Consider the following 18662-nt stretch of genomic DNA (forward strand, 5'->3'; position numbering starts at 1 on the left):
AAAACTAACAAACAGAAAGGACATCCACACCAAAAACCCATCTGTACATCACCATCATCAAAGACCAAAAGTAGATAAAACCACAAAGATGGGGAAAAAACAGAACAGAAAAACTGGAAACTCTAAAAAGCAGAGCGCCTCTCCTCCTCCAAAGGAACGCAGTTCCTCACCAGCAACGGAACAAAGCTGGATGGAGAACGACTTTGACGAGCTGAGAGAAGAAGGCTTCAGACGATCAAATTACTCTGAGCTACGGGAGGACATTCAAACCAAAGGCAAAGAAGTTGAAAACTTTGAAAAAAATTTAGAAGAATGTATAACTAGAATAACCAATACAGAGAAGTGCTTAAAGGAGCTGATGGAGCTGAAAACCAAGGCTCGAGAACTACGTGAAGAATGCAGAAGCCTCAGGAGCCGATGCGATCAACTGGAAGAAAGGGTATCAGCAATGGAAGATGAAATGAATGAAATGAAGCGAGAAGGGAAGTTTAGAGAAAAAAGAATAAAAAGAAATGAGCAAAGCCTCCAAGAAATATGGGACTATGTGAAAAGACCAAATCTACGTCTGACTGGTGTACCTGAAAGTGACGGGGAGAATGGAACCAAGTTGGAAAACACTCTGCAGGATATTATCCAGGAGAACTTCCCCAATCTAGCAAGGCAGGCCAACGTTCAGATTCAGGAAATACAGAGAACGCCACAAAGATACTCCTCGAGAAGAGCAACTCCAAGACACATAATTGTCAGATTCACCAAAGTTGCAATGAAGGAAAAAATGTTAAGGGAAGCCAGAGAGAAAGGTCGGGTTACCCTCAAAGGGAAGCCCATCAGACTAACAGTGGATCTCTCGGCAGAAACCCTACAAGCCAGAAGAGAGTGGGGGCCAATATTCAACATTCTTAAAGAAAAGAATTTTCAACCCAGAATTTCATATCCAGCCAAACTAAGCTTCAAAAGTGAAGGAGAAATAAAATACTTTACAGACAAGCAAATGCTGAGAGATTTTGTCACCACCAGGCCTGCCCTAAATGAGCTCCTGAAGGAAGCACTAAACATGGAAAGGAACAACCAGTACCAGCCACTGCAAAATCATGCCAAAATGTAAAGACCATCAAGACTAGGAAGAAACTGCATCAACTAACGAGCAAAATAACCAGCTAACATCATCATGACAGGATCAAATTAACACATAACGATATTAACTTTAAATGTAAATGGACTAAATGCTCCAATAAAAGACACAGACTGGCAAATTGGATAAAGAGTCAAGACCCATCAGTGTGCTGTATTCAGGAAACCCATCTCACGTGCAGAGACACACATAGGCTCAAAATAAAAGGATGGAGGAAGATCTACTAAGCAAATGGAAAACAAAAAAAGGCAGGGGTTGCAATCCTAGTCTCTGATAAAACAGACTTTAAACCAACAAAGATCAAAAGAGACAAAGAAGGCCACTACATAATGGTAAAGGGATCAATTCAACAAGAAGAGCTAACTATCCTAAATATATATGCACCCAATACAGGAGCACCCAGATTCATAAAGCAAGTCCTGAGTGACTTGCAAAGAGACTTAGACTCCCACACATTAATAATGGGAGACTTTAACACCCCACTGTCAACATTAGACAGATCAACGAGACAGAAAGTCAACAAGGATACCCAGGAATTGAACTCAGCTCTGCACCAAGCGGACCTAATAGACATCTACAGAACTCTCCACCACAAATCAACAGAATATACATTTTTTTCAGCACCACACCACACCTATTCCAAAATTGACCACATACTTGGAAGTAAAGCTCTCCTCAGCAAATGTAAAAGAACAGAGATTATAACAAACTGTCTCTCAGACCACAGTGCAATCAAACTAGAACTCAGGATTAAGAATCTCACTCAAAACCGCTCAACTACATGGAAACTGAACAACCTGCTCCTGAATGACTACTGGGTACATAACGAAATGAAGGCAGAAATAAAGATGTTCTTTGAAACCAACGAGAACAAAGACACAACATACCATTATCTGTGGGACGCATTCAGAGGAGTGTGTAGAGGGAAATTTATAGCACTAAATGCCCACAAGAGAAAGCAGGAAAGATCCAAAATTGACACCCTAAGATCACAATTAAAAGAACTAGAAAAGCAAGAGCAAACACATTCAAAAGCTAGCAGAAGGCAAGAAATAACTAAAATCAGAGCAGAACTGAAGGAAATAGAGACACAAAAAACCCTTCAAAAAATTAATGAATCCAGGAGCTGGTTTTTTGAAAGGATCAACAAAATAGATAGACTGCTAGCAAGACTAATAAAGAAAAAAAGAGAGAAGAATCAAATAGACGCAATAAAAAATGATAAAGGGGATATCACCACTGATCCCACAGAAATACAAACTACCATCAGAGAATACTACAAACACCTCTACGCAAATAAACTAAAAAATCTAGAAGAAATGGATAAATTCCTTGACACATACACCCTCCCAAGACTAAACCAGGAAGAAGTTGAATCTCTGAATAGACCAATAACAGGAGCTGAAATTGTGGCAATAATCAATAGCTTACCAACCAAAAAGAGTCCAGGACCAGATGGATTCACAGCCGAATTCTACCAGAGGTACAAGGAGGAACTGGTACCATTCCTTCTGAAACTATTCCAATCAATAGAAAAAGAGGGAATCCTCCCTAACTCATTTGATGAGGCCAGCATCATTCTGATACCAAAGCCTGGCAGAGACACAACCAAAAAAGAGAATTTTAGACCAATATCCTTGATGAATATTGATGCAAAAATCCTCAATAAAATACTGGCAAAACGAATCCAGCAGCACATCAAAAAGCTTATCCACCATGATCAAGTGGGCTTCATCCCTGGGATGCAAGGCTGGTTCAATATACGCAAATCAATAAATGTAATCCAGCATATAAACAGAGCCAAAGACAAAAACCACATGATTATCTCAATAGATGCAGAAAAGGCCTTTGACAAAATTCAACAACCATTCATGCTAGAAACTCTCAATAAATTAGGTATTGATGGGACATATCTCAAAATAATAAGAGCTATCTATGACAAACCCACAGCCAATATCATACTGAATGGGCAAAAACTGGAAGCATTCCCTTTGAAAACTGGCACAAGACAGGGATGCCCTCTCTCACCACTCCTATTCAACATAGTGATGGTAGTTCTGGCCAGGGCAATTAGGCAGGAGAAGGAAATAAAGGGTATTCAATTAGGAAAAGAGGAAGTCAAATTGTCCCTCTTTGCAGACGACATGATTGTATATCTAGAAAACTCCATTGACTCAGCCCAAAATCTCCTTAAGCTGATAAGCAACTTCAGCAAAGTCTCAGGATACAAAATCAATGTACAAAAATCACAAGCATTCTTATACACCAACAACAGACAAACAGAGAGCCAAATCATGAGTGAACTCCCATTCACAATTGCTTCAAAGAGAATAAAATACCTAGGAATCCAACTTACAAGGGATGTGAAGGACCTCTTCAAGGAGAACTACAAACCACTGCTCAAGGAAATAAAAGAGGATACAAACAAATGGAAGAACATTCCATGCTCATGGGTAGGAAGAATCAATATCGTGAAAATGGCCATACTGCCCAAGGTAATTTACAGATTCAATGCCATGCCCATCAAGCTACCAATGCCTTTCTTCACAGAATTGGAAAAAACTACTTTAAAGTTCATATGGAACCAAAAAAGAGCTCGCATCGCCAAGTCAATCCTAAGCCAAAAGAACAAAGCTGGAGGCATCACACTACCTGACTTCAAACTATACTACAAGGCTACAGTAACCAAAACAGCATGGTACTGGTACCAAAACAGAGATATAGATCAATGGAACAGAACAGAGCCCTCAGAAATAACGCCGCATATCTACAACTATCTGATCTTTGACAAACCTGAGAAAAATAAGCAATGGGGAAAGGATTCCCTATTTAATAAATGGTGCTGGGAAAACTAGCTAGCCATATGTAGAAAGCTGAAACTGGATCCCTTCCTTACACCTTATACAAAAATCAATTCAAGATGGATTAAAGACTTAAACGTTAGACCTAAAACCATAAAAACTCTAGAAGAAAACCTAGGCAATACCATTCAGGACATAGGCATGGGCAAGGACTTCCTGTCTAAAACACCAAAAGCAATGGCAACAAAAGACAAAATTGACAAATGGGATCTAATTAAACTAAAGAGCTTCTGTACAGCAAAAGAAACTACCATCAGAGTGAACAGGCAACCTACAAAATGGGAGAAAATTTTTGCAACCTACTCATCTGACAAAGGGCTAATATCCAGAATCTACAATGAACTCAAACAAATTTACAAGAAAAAAACAAACAACCCCATCAAAAAGTGGGCAAAGGACATGAACAGACACTTCTCAAAAGAAGATATTTATGCAGCCAAAAGACACATGAAAAAATGCTCACCATCACTGGCCATCAGAGAAATGCAAATCAAAACCACAATGAGATACCATCTCACACCAGTTAGAATGGCAATCATTAAAAAGTCAGGAAACAACAGGTGCTGGAGAGGGTGTGGAGAAATAGGAACACTTTTACACTGTTGGTGGGACTGTAAACTAGTTCAACCATTGTGCAAGTCAGTGTGGCGATTCCTCAGGGATCTAGAACTAGAAATACCATTTAACCCTGCCATCCCATTACTGGGTATATACCCAAAGGACTATAAATCATGCTGCTATAAAGACACATGCACACATATGTTTATTGCGGCACTATTCACAATAGCAAAGACTTGGAACCAACCCAAATGTCCAACAATGATAGACTGGATTAAGAAAATGTGGCACATGTACACCATCGAATCCTATGCAGCCATAAAAAGTGATGAGTTCATGTCCTTTGTAGGGACATGGATGAAAATGGAAATCATCATTCTCAGTAAACTATCGCAAGAACCAAAAACCAAACACCGCATATTCTCACTCATAGGTGGGAATTGAACAATGAGATCACATGGACACAGGAAGGGGAACATCACACTCTGGGGACTGTTGTGGGGTGGGGGGTGGGGGGAGGGATAGCATTGGGAGATATACCTAATGCTAGATGACAAGTTAGTGGGTGCAGCACACCAGCATGGCACATATATACATATGTAATTAACCTGCACAATGTGCACATGTACCCTAAAACTTAAAATATAATAATAAAAGAAAAAAAAAAGCTACATAAAAAAAAAGGAACTCCCCCACCCCCTCCAAGTATAAGGGAGGGCTACTGTACAATGGTGTGAAAAGCAGGCAGATTACAGGGAAGCCTGTGACTCCCTTTCTGTGTGGAGGCCGTTCAGAGTACAATTTTCTTGTCTTTTTGCTCGAATATAAAGATGACACGGATAACAGTGAGCCTGGGTTTCAGAGCTAACTATCTGCTCTCTTAAAAAGGTGCTGTGTGCAGGGAAAATATAGAGACAAAGACAGAGAAAGAGACCCAGAGACAGAGAGGGAGAAGAAAGAGAGAGACAAAGACCAAAAAACATAAAGACAGAATTATGAGCAGGTGGTTGGGGAGTATGTGAGGAAGAGAACAGACATCTATTAAGAGTCTCTTATATACTAGGCACTGTGGTACATACTTAACATAAGAGCATGTAGTTGTCATAAGATAAGAAGAGAGAGCTAGGGAGTTCCAATTCACTCTTACAGCATAATCCAAACCCATAGCTCTAGAAAATAGGCCTATTCCCAGAGAAGAGTCCTCAAAACTGTTGTGGTTTTTGGTCCGATTAAGGAAGTGACATGTTATCCATAAGCAGGAACTATTCCTGACCTGTACCTGAAATTCTACCATTCTATTTGCTCTTTCAGTTTAAACATTTGCCCTCAGTTCCAAAGCAAACTCCTGAGTGAAAGATCCAAGAGCCCCTTTGGCTGAACTGTAGAAAGTGAATGTTCTGGTTTGAATGTTTGTCCCCTCTAAAACTCATGTTGAAAGTTAATCCCCAATGTAACAGCATTAAGAGGTGGGACCTGTAAGAGATAATTGGGTCATGAGGGCATGAGCCCTCATTATGTGTTAATAGATTATTAATAAGTCATCATGTGAGTGAATTAGTTATCATGAGAGTGGATCTGTTATAAAAGCCAGGTCAGCTCTCTCACAAGCCCTCCTGCCTGGTGATGCTTTCTTCCATGGTATGGTGCAGCAAGCAGGCCCTCACCAGAAGCTGAGCAGATGCTGGTGCCATGCCCCTGGGCTTCCCAGCCTCCAAAACTGTAAGAAATGAATTTATTCCTTATAAATTACCCAGTCTCAGGTATTCAATTACAGCAACAGGAAACAGAATAAGACAGTGAGCATGACAGCAAATAACCAAAGAGATGAGTGTTTGTAGATGACATATTTGTGGCAATATGACTTGCCTGTGGTATCCTGGGGGTGTCCAGGAAACCTCACAGAATGTGACTGCCACAAGCTTGGTATCTTCTTTACACATCATGGGTTCAATATAGAACACTAAGCAACACTAAGCAATGTCCAGGAATTCTAATGGGAAGCTGGTTGCAGCAGAAGCAAAAGCTTCTCTGGAGGACACTGAGAGTCTTGGTGAGCAAGAAAACAATGGCAGAATAGATACTCCTTCAGGAGCCCTTTATTTTACAAAGTTGGAAGGAACGGGGCTTCATAATACCCAGGCAACCTTCCAATTTAAAAAGTTTATAGGCTCCATCTGTCCCAGAAGAGGCTTCTCTGAGTTTCCTCATTTATTGTCCCTACCATTATGCTCTGCCTATCCCCACCTCTTCTGTATTCTATTTGCTGCTCCCCAATTCCCACCTCTCTGGGTAGTTCTTGCCCATTCTAGCCACTCATTCTTCCCCTAATTGCTTACATCAGAAAGCAGCACAGATCACTAGGCTGGGAACTAGGGCACTTAACCCTGCCACTTTCCAGCTATGAGGCCCTAGATAAGTCTGAGCCTTAGTTTCACAGTTTGGAAGTACATGGCGTCCAGGTTCCTTATACCTAAAAATGGGATCATTCTTTCATGCTTTGAGATTTAACTTAAGGTCTACATTCTCTAGCAAGCCATTTCTATTTGTCCACCCCTTTCTTGTCCTCTTTTATATTATATTGTCCTTATTGATGGACCCACACATTTATAATATAAGGACAATACTGTGTTTTCTAACACAATATTAGGAATGTTAAAAGTCTTGTTTCTCTCTAATGCAATAAAAAAACCCTGAGGAAGTGGTTTCACTGATTGTGTGCTATTCCGTTCTTCCCCCTTCTCTCCATGTGCACATCCCAGGACTGGACTGAGCTGTATAAGTATTTTTAAAATGAAGTAGAAGGAATCTTGTCAACTAAGGTTACTCCATTTCTGAAAGCCTGACTGGAAATGGCTTCCTGAATCCTATATTATCAGTTTTCTGAGAAAATTGGTGAGACAGGGCATTCCAGGCAGAGGAAAGAGCAATAAAATACAAGTTAAATGCTTTAGACCAAGAGGTAGTATAATATTGTCGTTAAGTGTACAGGCTTTGGAGCCAAAACTTTGGCTTCCAATTCTAGCTCTGCCACTGAATACCTTATCCTCTTGTGCCTCAGTTTTCCCTTTTATAACATGAAAATAATCTATGAGGGATGCTTGGAAACTTAGAACACAGCTTCACATTTTCGTTCACTGCTGAATTCCTCCCAGTGTTATTTCTAAACCTGCCCTCTGTATGAAGGCGGGCCAGCCTCTTACAGATTGACCACTGCATGCCAGGTCAGCCTCTTCATATTATTTTTTTCTTGCCTGTTAGTCACCATGCACAAAATTCCCTCTCACTGATGCCTTCTAAAGCTCTAGCTGCTTTGCTAGCCCACATGCAGTCCCACCCTACAGGGAACCTCCTTCATTGCTCTGGTCTGTCATTCTCTCTCTCATGGAGCTACCTAATCATATATGAGCAGTAGCCATATAACTTACCCAAATAAGGACACTTCTGAGAGTGAAAGACAATGTTATTATTCATTATGTTGGGATGACAGGTATAAGTAAGGACTATCCTGATCAGAAGGAGAGAGATACACAGTTATCTTACCAATGGACCCAGGGGTATTGAGATAACACTGCTTCTTACAGTCTTTCTCTTTCTAGTATTTCCATAGAAATCTGCATAGTATTTTCCAGCCTACAAAAAACTTCTACCTCATAGTCTCACTGATGATCACACCAGTTCTGGGAATCTACTGCGTAGGACTATTTCTTGCACAAAGTGGTTTTTCTTAGGTCACCTAGAGGCTGGAACTGGACAGAACCTTATGTTTCACTCTGGCATCCACTTTAGCCCCTGATTGTGTTGGGGTTTTTTTGGGGGGAGTTGATTTTGTTCCCTTAGGTTGGTGGTAGAAGAAAGAATCATGCCATACTTCTTTTCCCCTCATCTTTCCGCTATCTAAAGCTGGGGGAATGGTAGGGTTTGAGAAAGGTGAAATGAGAAGCTAACAAAGAAACAATCAGAAAGTGGCAAAGTATCAATAAATCTAATCTCATTCAAGAAATAATTATAAATATTTATCTAGATGATAGGATTTCAAGTAATTTTTTTTTTTTTTTTTTGAGATGGAGTCTCGCTGTGTCGCCCAGGCTGGAGTGCAGTGGCGCGATCTCCGTTCACTGCAAGCTCCGCCTCCTGGGTTCACGCCATTCTCCTGCCTCAGCTTCCTGAGTAGCTGGGACTACAGGCGCCCGCCACCACGCCTGGCTAATTTTTTTTTTATTTTTAGTACAGACGGGGTTTCACCATGTTAGCCAGGATGGTCTCGATCTCCTGACCTCGTGATCCGCCCGCCTAGGCCTCCTAAAGTGCTGGGATTACAGGCTTGAGCCACCGCGCCTGGCCTCAAGTGATTTTTAACATTATCCTTACTCCGTTCTATATCCTTTGAATTAGCATGTACCACTTACATAATTTTACAAAATGCTATTTCATTTATTTTTTTCGTTTTAAAGAAAGAAACCCGAGTCTTCAGTAAAATGGTCAATTTCAGCGGAAAAAAACCCCCAAAAACAAAAACATAGGCTTTTCAACCAGACCTAGGTTTTCATCTTAATTCTACTCTGTGACCTTGAGTAAGTCACATATGCCTTCAAGCCTCAGCCTCAGTTTCCTAATGGGTAGAATATAGACACCACCACCCACTTCACAGGGCTGTTAATGACGATTCCACAAGATTCAAAAAGTGAGTACCCCAGGTAAGGGCCCAGCTTGTGGCAGACTCTCAATAAATGTTCATTCCCTTCATGTGGGTGTTATTGATGCAGCTTCCCAAGGCTTCTGACAAGACTTGCCACCTCCTCTGCTCACAGCTCTGGAGTCATCAGGGGCATGCCTGTGACAGCTGTACCCCCTCAGCATGCCAGTGGGGCTGTCCAGAGATGCTGGGTGCCTAATGCGGGGAGGCAGTCCTGTCAGAATCACTGGGGGTTACTCATCCCAGCTTCAGGGTTTCTGACAGGATGTTTTGATAAAATAAATCTATTTTAAGTGAATGTAATGAAATAGTAACCAGCTTCTGAAGGGCTCTTAAGATGTTTTTAAGAAGTTTCAGATCAAAGGCCCTGGGAAGGCAGACTTCATGCATTAAATATTTAGTACTGACTCAGTCACTTGAGAGTGCCGGAGTTTTGACATTGTAAGAGGAAGAAAGCACATTCTAGCTGGGGCCACACTCATGTTAAAGACACAAGTGATGGGATTCAGGAGCAAGAGGCCAATCTTCTGGCTCCTATTGGCTGGAAAGTTGGAGGTCATGACCTCAAAGGCTGTCTGCCTAAAGATTCAGGATGTGATAGAATTATTCAGGATCTATAGTAGTTGGGTAAACAGGTCGTCAGCGAACCCTGACAGCAGGGATCTGCCTTCCCAGCTGTTACTACCAGGCTCAGTGCCTGTCATTCTGCACATTGCCACTTGGAGCCCACCAAGTGTGTGAAATCTGCAATGTGCTTTGCAGTCCAGCTGAGAGATACTGTCCTTGAGACCACACATGGACTCACACAGTCCTGGCAGGTGAGGCTCAATGAGGAGAAGAGATTTGTTGAAGAAAGGCCACACTACACATTAATGGTATGACTGGGAATGGTGTCAAGAGCTCCTGCCTGACTGTTCCAAGGTCTTTCCAATATATTACACTGCCCCTTTAATGAAAAACAGCTACCACTGGTGTAGACATAGAAGGACAGGAAGAAGCCTAGAATAGGGTGTAAAGTAGTGGCCCTTGATCTATATCAGGTCATAGCTACCTCTGGAAGTCTGGTAGAAGTTACAGATCCTCTCCCAGAAAAATGCACGCATGTACTAGTATGTACTACGGTTGACATCTAGTGTTGGAGAATTAGAGCATCCTTTTAAACACATTCTTGAACATCAGATTGCAAAACCTTGAAACCGAAGTCATAGTAGACCCTGTGATCCCAGAGCTTACAACTTTGAGTTTCTTGAATGACTTTTAGAATAGTGGTATGACAGTAGAACCATCACAAGGTTTGGTATTATACAAACCTGGATTAGAGCAGCACCTAGCACATATGTAATATTAAGGAATTACTTAATTTCTCTTAACTTCAGATTCCTATTTCTAACGTGGCATAATATCATCTAATGGAGATATTTGGAGTTCAAACATGTAAATAATTTTGAGCCCCTGAATACATGCAAAAGATACAAAGTTCCCATCCATCTCTATCTACTTCCAAAAAACCCTGATGGATTCCTTCAGCATCCAGTCATCCACTCTATTCCCACCTTACAACTAAACTTTAGACTCCAGGAGGGCAGAAATCATGTCTAGATTGCTCACAATAACTACCTCTGAGTATACTGACTGGCACATGATAGGTGCTTAATATATATTGAACGAATGAATTAAAATAACAAAATAATGAGTCCAGTGGATACACAGTAACTTCCAGAGAGGGGGCAGGAGCAGTAAATAGAGCACTAACCCTGGGGAAACTTCAAATATTGCTTTTGGCCACAGACCAAAGGTGTTTCAGGGCCCAGAAAAACTAATGACTTAGGAACTGGCATTCAGAGAAGACAACCTAGAGGAAGATCTCCCTGTTTATCTCTGTTCATTGTTTCATTCCCCTTCACCATTGTCATAGGCCTGGTCTCTTCCTACATGACAAGCCGAGGAGCTGCAGTTACACCAAAACCAGGTCAAGTAAGCCTAAAACCTAGGAATAAGGGACCAGGTAGGAAGTAGGAAGAGGCACAAGTTATTAGCTCCTACCTGACCCCGCCTTTGATTCTGCAGGCACTACCACTTCCACCTGGAAGATTAGCTGTGCTCAGTTTCTGAGCCAGTCCTAACAGGGAAGAGAGTACAGAAGCAGTTTTAGTCTCCTCTACAGGTGGAGTCTTGTTGTCCTGGGTTAGAAGGCACACGTGAGGTGAGCCCCCACATCCTTACATACCAGTGGAGGTGAGCCCCAAACCCTTACATACCAATGGAGTCAGAGTTCCCAAGAATACCTTTCTTGGAATTCAAGGTCAGTCTGAACCTAAACCTGGCAAGCCCCAACTCAGACCCTTGCCACCTCTTCTCCTAGAGCCTGAAGGATGCTTCCATGCCTGAGGTAGTGGTAATAAACAGAAGGGAGGAGAAGCACTATGTCACCACCCACTTAACTTCCAATACTAACTATTGTTTGGAAGTTCTTCCTGACATGACAAAATCCCCTTAGAAAGACACACACATTTGTCAGACATTTCTGGGTCCTGAGCATCCAAGCTGAATTTAACACATTCCTTATAATCCCCTTCTTTACCCCTTTGGTGGCTCTATCTTTCACCAGTTTAAACAAGCCAGAAACCTAGAAATAATGCTTGATTCCTCTCTTTTCCTCACCTACAACATTCAACTAATCACAGATCCTGTGAATTTTAACTCCTAGATATTTCTTGAATTTTTCAACTCTTTTCCATGTTTTCTGCTAGTGTCATAATTGTTAGAGAACTCCCTAACAATATTCTCTGACCTTTAATCCATCCTCCACATAACAACCCAAATTACTTAATATAAAATATTTGACCCTGTTATTCCTTTGTGTAAACTCCTACATTGACATCCCATCACAACCAGAAACCAAAAAAACAAACGATTCTGGCTTCTCCGTGTCCCTGGGCTCCTTAGGTATGTACATTCGAGAAGATACACAGTGACTCCTTCTCTGGCTTAACAGAAGGAGAATAGGAAGTATGAGCTATCACAAGTTGGAATAGGCTATTATTGAAGGTAGTGAGTTCTCTGTGCCTGAAAGAGTGTCTGTAGAGCCTGAATAACCACTCACTGGGATGCTGTGGAAAAACTCTGCTCTTGGATAAGAGACGGGTTATATGCCATACGAAGGAAAATTCTGTCCTGAAGAGACTTCCAGGGGTTTCAGGATAGCATGTACCTTGGGGACAATAACACCTCCCTGCTCCTCTCATCCTCCCCACATGGACATCAGTAGGAGGAGGCCCCACCTCAAGGAAAGCAGTTTCTCTTCTGAAACCAGCCTGACCCATAGCCAGCATAAATGAGATGTTGTTTTGGCATTTCTTCTTCAGGTCAATGTAATCAGTGTAGAAAATGTAAATGAATAATTTAGGTTTCCAGAAATAAATTAACTGGAGCCAAGATTGTCAAATGTGGCTGTCTACCCTGATCAAGGTAACCAGGTAAATACCAAATCTCACTCCCTTTTCCTGCAACATAGCTTTTTAGGCATTCCTTACTAAGTGACGAGAAAGAAACAAAGTCTTCAGGATAACAAAAACAAACACTTTGCATTTGTGTAGCTGTTTAGAAATGTAACATGCTGTTAAATTATAGTTACCAGTTGAGAATCTAATGTGTTCCAGGCAACATGGCAGCTGCTTTTTAGACATAATATTTTTTAAATCACAGACTTTTGAGACAAATTTATTAGGTTCATATTGCAAGTCTCAACTCTGCCTCTAATTAGCTGTGTGATTTTAGGCAAGTTATTTAGTCTCTTTGCACCTCAGTTTCCTGATCTTTAAAATGGACAGAGTAAGGGCGCACGCTTTAAAAGGCAGGATAATACACACAAAGAACTTAGCTAGTGCCATATGTGGCACATATACACATTCAGTAAATGTTAGCTTTGGTTTATATTACCCCTGACAAATACCCTGAAAAGTAAGGGTTATTTTGCAAATGTGCAGATGAAGAAAGAGGCTGAGTGATATGGAATAATGTTCTTAATTTGGTAATGAATTAGTGGTGTATCTCGGATTCAAATGCGATCTGTCTGACTCTAAAACCTCTGTGTTGAGAGAGCAGCATGGTTAGTTTTACTAATGTGGCTGTTGTCACCATCAACAAAACTAATAGCATTAATAACAATGCCCTCTCACTTGGGCACAGCACTTTTGAGTCTTCAAAGAAAATGTAGACACATTATTAAAGAATTATCAGCCCTTGGGCCTGTAAACAACTTCATGGAACCTCATCCACACTTTCCATCTCAGGGCAGAAGCCATCCTGTGGTACCCTTGACAGGTGATCATCTGTCCAAGATGGGTCTCACCAGTTCTAAAAGGAAATAAGCAGAAAGGACTACTCTTGAGCAGAACAGATGTGGGCAGGGCAAAGACTCTATGATATGGGAGGCTCCAGTATTGAGGGAGATCTCAGAGATGGAAACACACCTATCAGTCTTCCTGAACACTTTCAGGCCCTCAGACTGCATGGCAGGGGGTGTCCTGGAGGAGGAGGGCTTCCTAGTTCTTAGCAAGGGTGAGCCTGAGGTAAGGGCAGCCAGATGAGCCTTTACCCACTTAGAGATAACTGAAAAGAAACAGGAGCCCAGAGCAAGATCTAACTCCAAGAGAACCTGGACAGTTTTCTCACCTTTGCCTGTACCTTCATCTGCTATTTTGTTTCCCAGCTCTGTGCCTGTAGGATGTAACAGAAAATCCTAAAATACAGGAAGGCCCATAGCCTTGTTTAATGGGGCAAAGATGTGGGGAAGGACCTGGAAAGACTGAATCAGCCTCCTCAACTAGACTAATGGCAGGAAACTCAGGGAAGTAAGGGCAGGAGAACAGTCACAAAGAAAATGGAGGCAGGTTAGATTCTGATGCAAGTCTGAGAGAAGACAAACTAGAGCTTCAGACACAATATTGCACTGCCCTAGAGGCATAAGGATAAAGCCCTCCCTACCAGTGAATATTTCCATGATCCTATTAGGTTCCTACAGCAACACAGAGGTAGTCAGTGAAAGGATTCGGGCAGCATAGAGAGCAAACATTTTGAAGTCAGACGGATCTGGGTACAAATCCTGATTCTAACAGTTGCTAGCTATGTGAGTTCAACCAAGTTAGTGAACCCAAGCCCTGGTTTCTTCCCATGTTTCAGAGAATAATAATCGCAACCTATTTTTAATTATAAAGAGGAAATGATCACATGAATTAAGATAAAAGTAGAGCCTAGCTCATGGTGTGCTATGGTCTGAACGTTTGTGTCCCCTTCCCTCTCCAAATTCCTATCCTGGAGCCTAAATCCCCAATGTATTGTTATTTGGAGGTAGAGTCTTTGGGAGGTAATGAAATCATAAGGGTGGAGCCCTCATGAATGGGATTAGTGCCTTTAAAAGGAACCAAAAAGACTAGAGTTCTCTCTGTCATGTGAGGATACAGCAAGAAGTCAGCAATATGCAATCTGGAAGACAGCTCTTAAAAGAAGCCAACTATTTTGGCACCCTTACCTCAGACTTCCAGCCTCTTGAACTGTGAGTAAAAAATTCCGGTTTTTAATAAACCACCTAGTCTATGGTACTTTGTCATAGCAGCCAACACTGACCAAGACATAGTATGTGGGAGAAAATTGTTCCTTTTTGTTGACATTCAAAGAGCATAAGACTCCCAATCAGAAAACCAAGGTCACGCTCCTAGGAACTTTACACATTTTCTGTCCTTAGGCCTTGGTTTTCTTAGCTGGGAAAATAGGGTGTTAGAAGACTTATATTTCAGGGTCTCTCTGGGTCCAAACTTTGTTTCAACTGCCTGTAGTGCAAGTATCATGAATTGGAGAAACAGATAGACTCCCAGCCATCTGTTTTTCCTCCATCCCTGTGAAATGGCAGCCTGGACCAACAATATCAAGATTGAGTAATATTCTGCTGACCTAGTTAGAAAAAGTTAAGAAACTTTTAAATACATATGAATATTATTGAATGAAAAAGAGAAGGCTGATTCAAATGGTTGCAGTGCATATTAATATCTTATTATCCACTTTAATGTAGGAAAGATACTGGAAACCTCTATTTAATCTTCTTAGCAAAATAATTGTCTTTTAATGCCAAGGTATGGTAAATAAGCCAGAAAAAATCAAATGATAGTGCAGGATGAAGTTAAATAATTTAGAAAACAAGAATCCAGAATTCAATAAATTATTCCAATCCAAGATGCTATCAAGAAAAAAAGGTAGAATTCTTAGGTTCCATTTTCTGAAATAATATCTCGGTGGGAAGGCAAATGAGGAACCCGAATATTCCTAGCAGTTTCTCCTTTTAAAAGAGATATAAATTAATAGATTTGACAAACATTTTTTTGAGAACCTACTGAGCATTCATCAGTCATACCTACCTCTTTGTAGCCACAAAGAGGAATAAAATCCCAAACACTTCTCTTGAAGACTTCTCTGGCTAATGGGGGAGACCCACATCCAGGACTGCTATAATGATAGCTTATCTAGCAGTAATGAGTTGGAGCTCGTTCCTTGATAAACTGTAGAATGCCTCTCTCAGCCCCTGTAACCTTCTCCTCAATTCCTATTGACATGTGAACTTACTCTTCTTGGCAAAATAGATGGGTCCATCTGGAAGAATTGATTTATTTAAGACACATACAAATGTCTTTCTGAGAAATAGGTATTAATAAGGTGTATATTACTATTCATGTATATGTTGTGGAATACCTACTGTGTACCAGCACTATGCTAGGCTCTTTGCTAGTCACTCATTTAATTTTCCTAACAATTCCTAACAATTATGAACAATTCCAAATTACAAATGAGGCAACTGGGGATCAAAGAGTTTAATGAACTTGTCCAGAGATAAATGTTGAAAACAGTGCAAGCAGCACTAAAAATCAAGTCCTTCTTAAATAAAAGCCCTTGGTCTTTTCATTAAGCCATATTGAAAGCATAGTAAAAGGGTTACAACATTGAAATGGAGAATCTATGTTGACCATGGACCTGAGTCAACAAGAGAAAAGCTCTGCCTACTTACCTGGTCATCCTTACTTTTAACTTAGGAATGGAGAAGGGCTCAGGCCATCTTGGGAGCAGGAAGGTATGCTGAGAGTATGTTCTACCTTGAGGCCTGGAGGCCCCATGAAATCAGGACAAGGTTTAGATGAAAAAAGCCAAGACTGTGTCAAGGTTCAGGTCTGGGCCAGCAACTAATGAGGCAGGCTCAGTTAGTATGGGTATCTTTAAGGTCCTAGAATCAGGGGGTACTGGAGATCCAGCAGCTCATTCAGGCTTTGGTATTATCCAGCTGTGTGAATTGAGTGAGTCCCTTGCCCTCAATTTCAATTTCTAAAATTGGAATAGGCCCAAGAGTAAGTTGGGCCAAATGATTTATTCAGATCTCCTATCTCCAAAATACTATGATTTTAAGATTTCAAATATGGACTTTACCAATAAAAGCCACAATAATCATTATTTGTTGAGCACTCTTAATATGACAGCACTCTACTATATTAACTCTAATTGCAACCTCATGACAACATTGCAAAGTTGTATTTATTATCCTTGTTTAGAAGGTGAGAAGCCCTGGAATCCAAAAGGTCAGCTACAGGTAACTTATCCATCGCCATTAACTTTTCACATATAATTTATTCATAGCCACCAATATTATAAATGGCAGAATCCCAAACTGTCTAACATCTAAAACTGTACCCTTCTTATGTATGCCTTCTTCCTTTGCCTACCTCTGCCCTCTAATTAAAACATGTGAGGACATTACCTCAATGATTTTTCAATGGCATCAGGTTTTCTTAATAGCTTTAATCTGAAAGAAGTGTCCTGAGAAACTAAGTTCAGTCTCCCACTTGCTTAAGCAGGAGGCTGTTGTACCTTTCACTTTGAGAGGTAAATGCTAGTAACTGAGAGCAATTGGCAAGGTATCTGCAGCTGACCAAGATATAGGGTCAATCAAGAAGATGAAGAAAAGTTAATGCTTAGATAATTAATTTTGATAAGTTGAGTTTACTAACAAAAAGAAATTACAGATAATCATAGATAGTGTATCTTCCTTAGTTCCCAGCCCATTTTTCATATGGTTGGCTCAAGATATATATTTAATGGATTAATATGGTTTATCTTTCCTCCTCGCACTCTCAAACATCCTTCTCCACAGACTTCAGCCAATCCTGAACATGACAGGGAGAATCATTTAACTTTCTAGATGTCTTTCCAATCTTTACTCTTTACCACATCTCCAATATGCCATGCTCTCACCCATTATATACCCTGTAAGATAGAGTTCAAACGTTACTTCCCCATAGCAATTCTTTCTGATTCCCCAGCCAGGTTTTCATGTTCCTTTCTCATTCCTCATCAGTCATCTACTCCTTAATTTCTTCTATACAAGTATTTTACTTATTAGTAGGGTAATCTTGGACAAGTTACTTAACCTTTCTGTGCCTCAGTTTCCCCATCTTCAAAGTGGGGAAAATAATAGTACCAGCTTCATAAAGTTGCTGAAGGTTTGACTGAGAAAATAAATAACCTATTATCATGTTTGACATGTAGTAAGCACTCTATAAATGTTAGCTGGTTTAATTTTTATATGACAAATTGTATGCCTTCGGGGAGCTTGGAGTCTAAGGGAGATATGGTATTACAAATGCGTTATATCCAAGAACTTACAAACAATTCAATTTCACTTCTGTTATCCAATATCTACTAGAAGCCTCTTGTCATCACAGAAACCCTTAAGCTAAGTCACAATGTCTAGTTTGCTGGTGACTCTAGAGAGGTTATTTGAGATAGCCAAAATTCAAATCCCCATATGGCTCCAGCCTTGATGATCGTTCTACTTACATTTTAACTAATAGGGGGTTTCTCTGGATATCTATCGGGGTAGAGGGTAGGGTGCTAATGTATGAGGAAAAGAGGCACGAAGAGTTTGAGTAACTGGCCCAAAGTTACACAGTGAATAAGTGGCAGAGTTAAGGTTCTAACCTATGTAGCCCACACTATACTAACTTATGCACCTAATTTCTTTCTTACTGCCTTGAACGTACTCAGTTAATGTTTGCAGAGAGTGGATAAACAAACAAGAAAACCTTGCAAACAGGTCTGGAAGAGGAGTGAGTTGCAGTGGACAGAGGCTAATCTAGAAGTCAGCAGCTGCGTTTCCAACTAAACTTGTCCCACTAATTCGCTGGGTGACTCAGGAAAGTTATCTCCCTTCTCTGGACCCTCTGTCTCCAGCACAGAAAGAGAGAGAGGCCTTTAAACAGTAGCAGTTAAGTCTTTTCTTCAAACTAAGTTTATGGAGAAGGCCAATAAACAGGATGTTCCAGTGTATTTGGCAGAAAGGACAAGAGAAGTCAGAGCCCTCACTCCTCCTCAGGGATATGGG

The 18662-nt window shown here is 40.8% G+C and overlaps 1 protein-coding gene across 10 annotated transcripts in view; it reads right to left on the bottom strand.

Annotated features, from left to right (window-relative positions):
• Window positions 1-18662, bottom strand: part of AGBL4 (AGBL carboxypeptidase 4) — a 1501444-nt gene that overhangs the window by 484321 nt on the left and 998461 nt on the right. The window lies entirely within an intron of this gene.

This window comes from Homo sapiens, chromosome 1 (genome assembly GCF_000001405.40).
Source record: "Homo sapiens chromosome 1, GRCh38.p14 Primary Assembly".
In the NCBI taxonomy this organism is placed as follows: domain Eukaryota; kingdom Metazoa; phylum Chordata; class Mammalia; order Primates; family Hominidae; genus Homo; species Homo sapiens.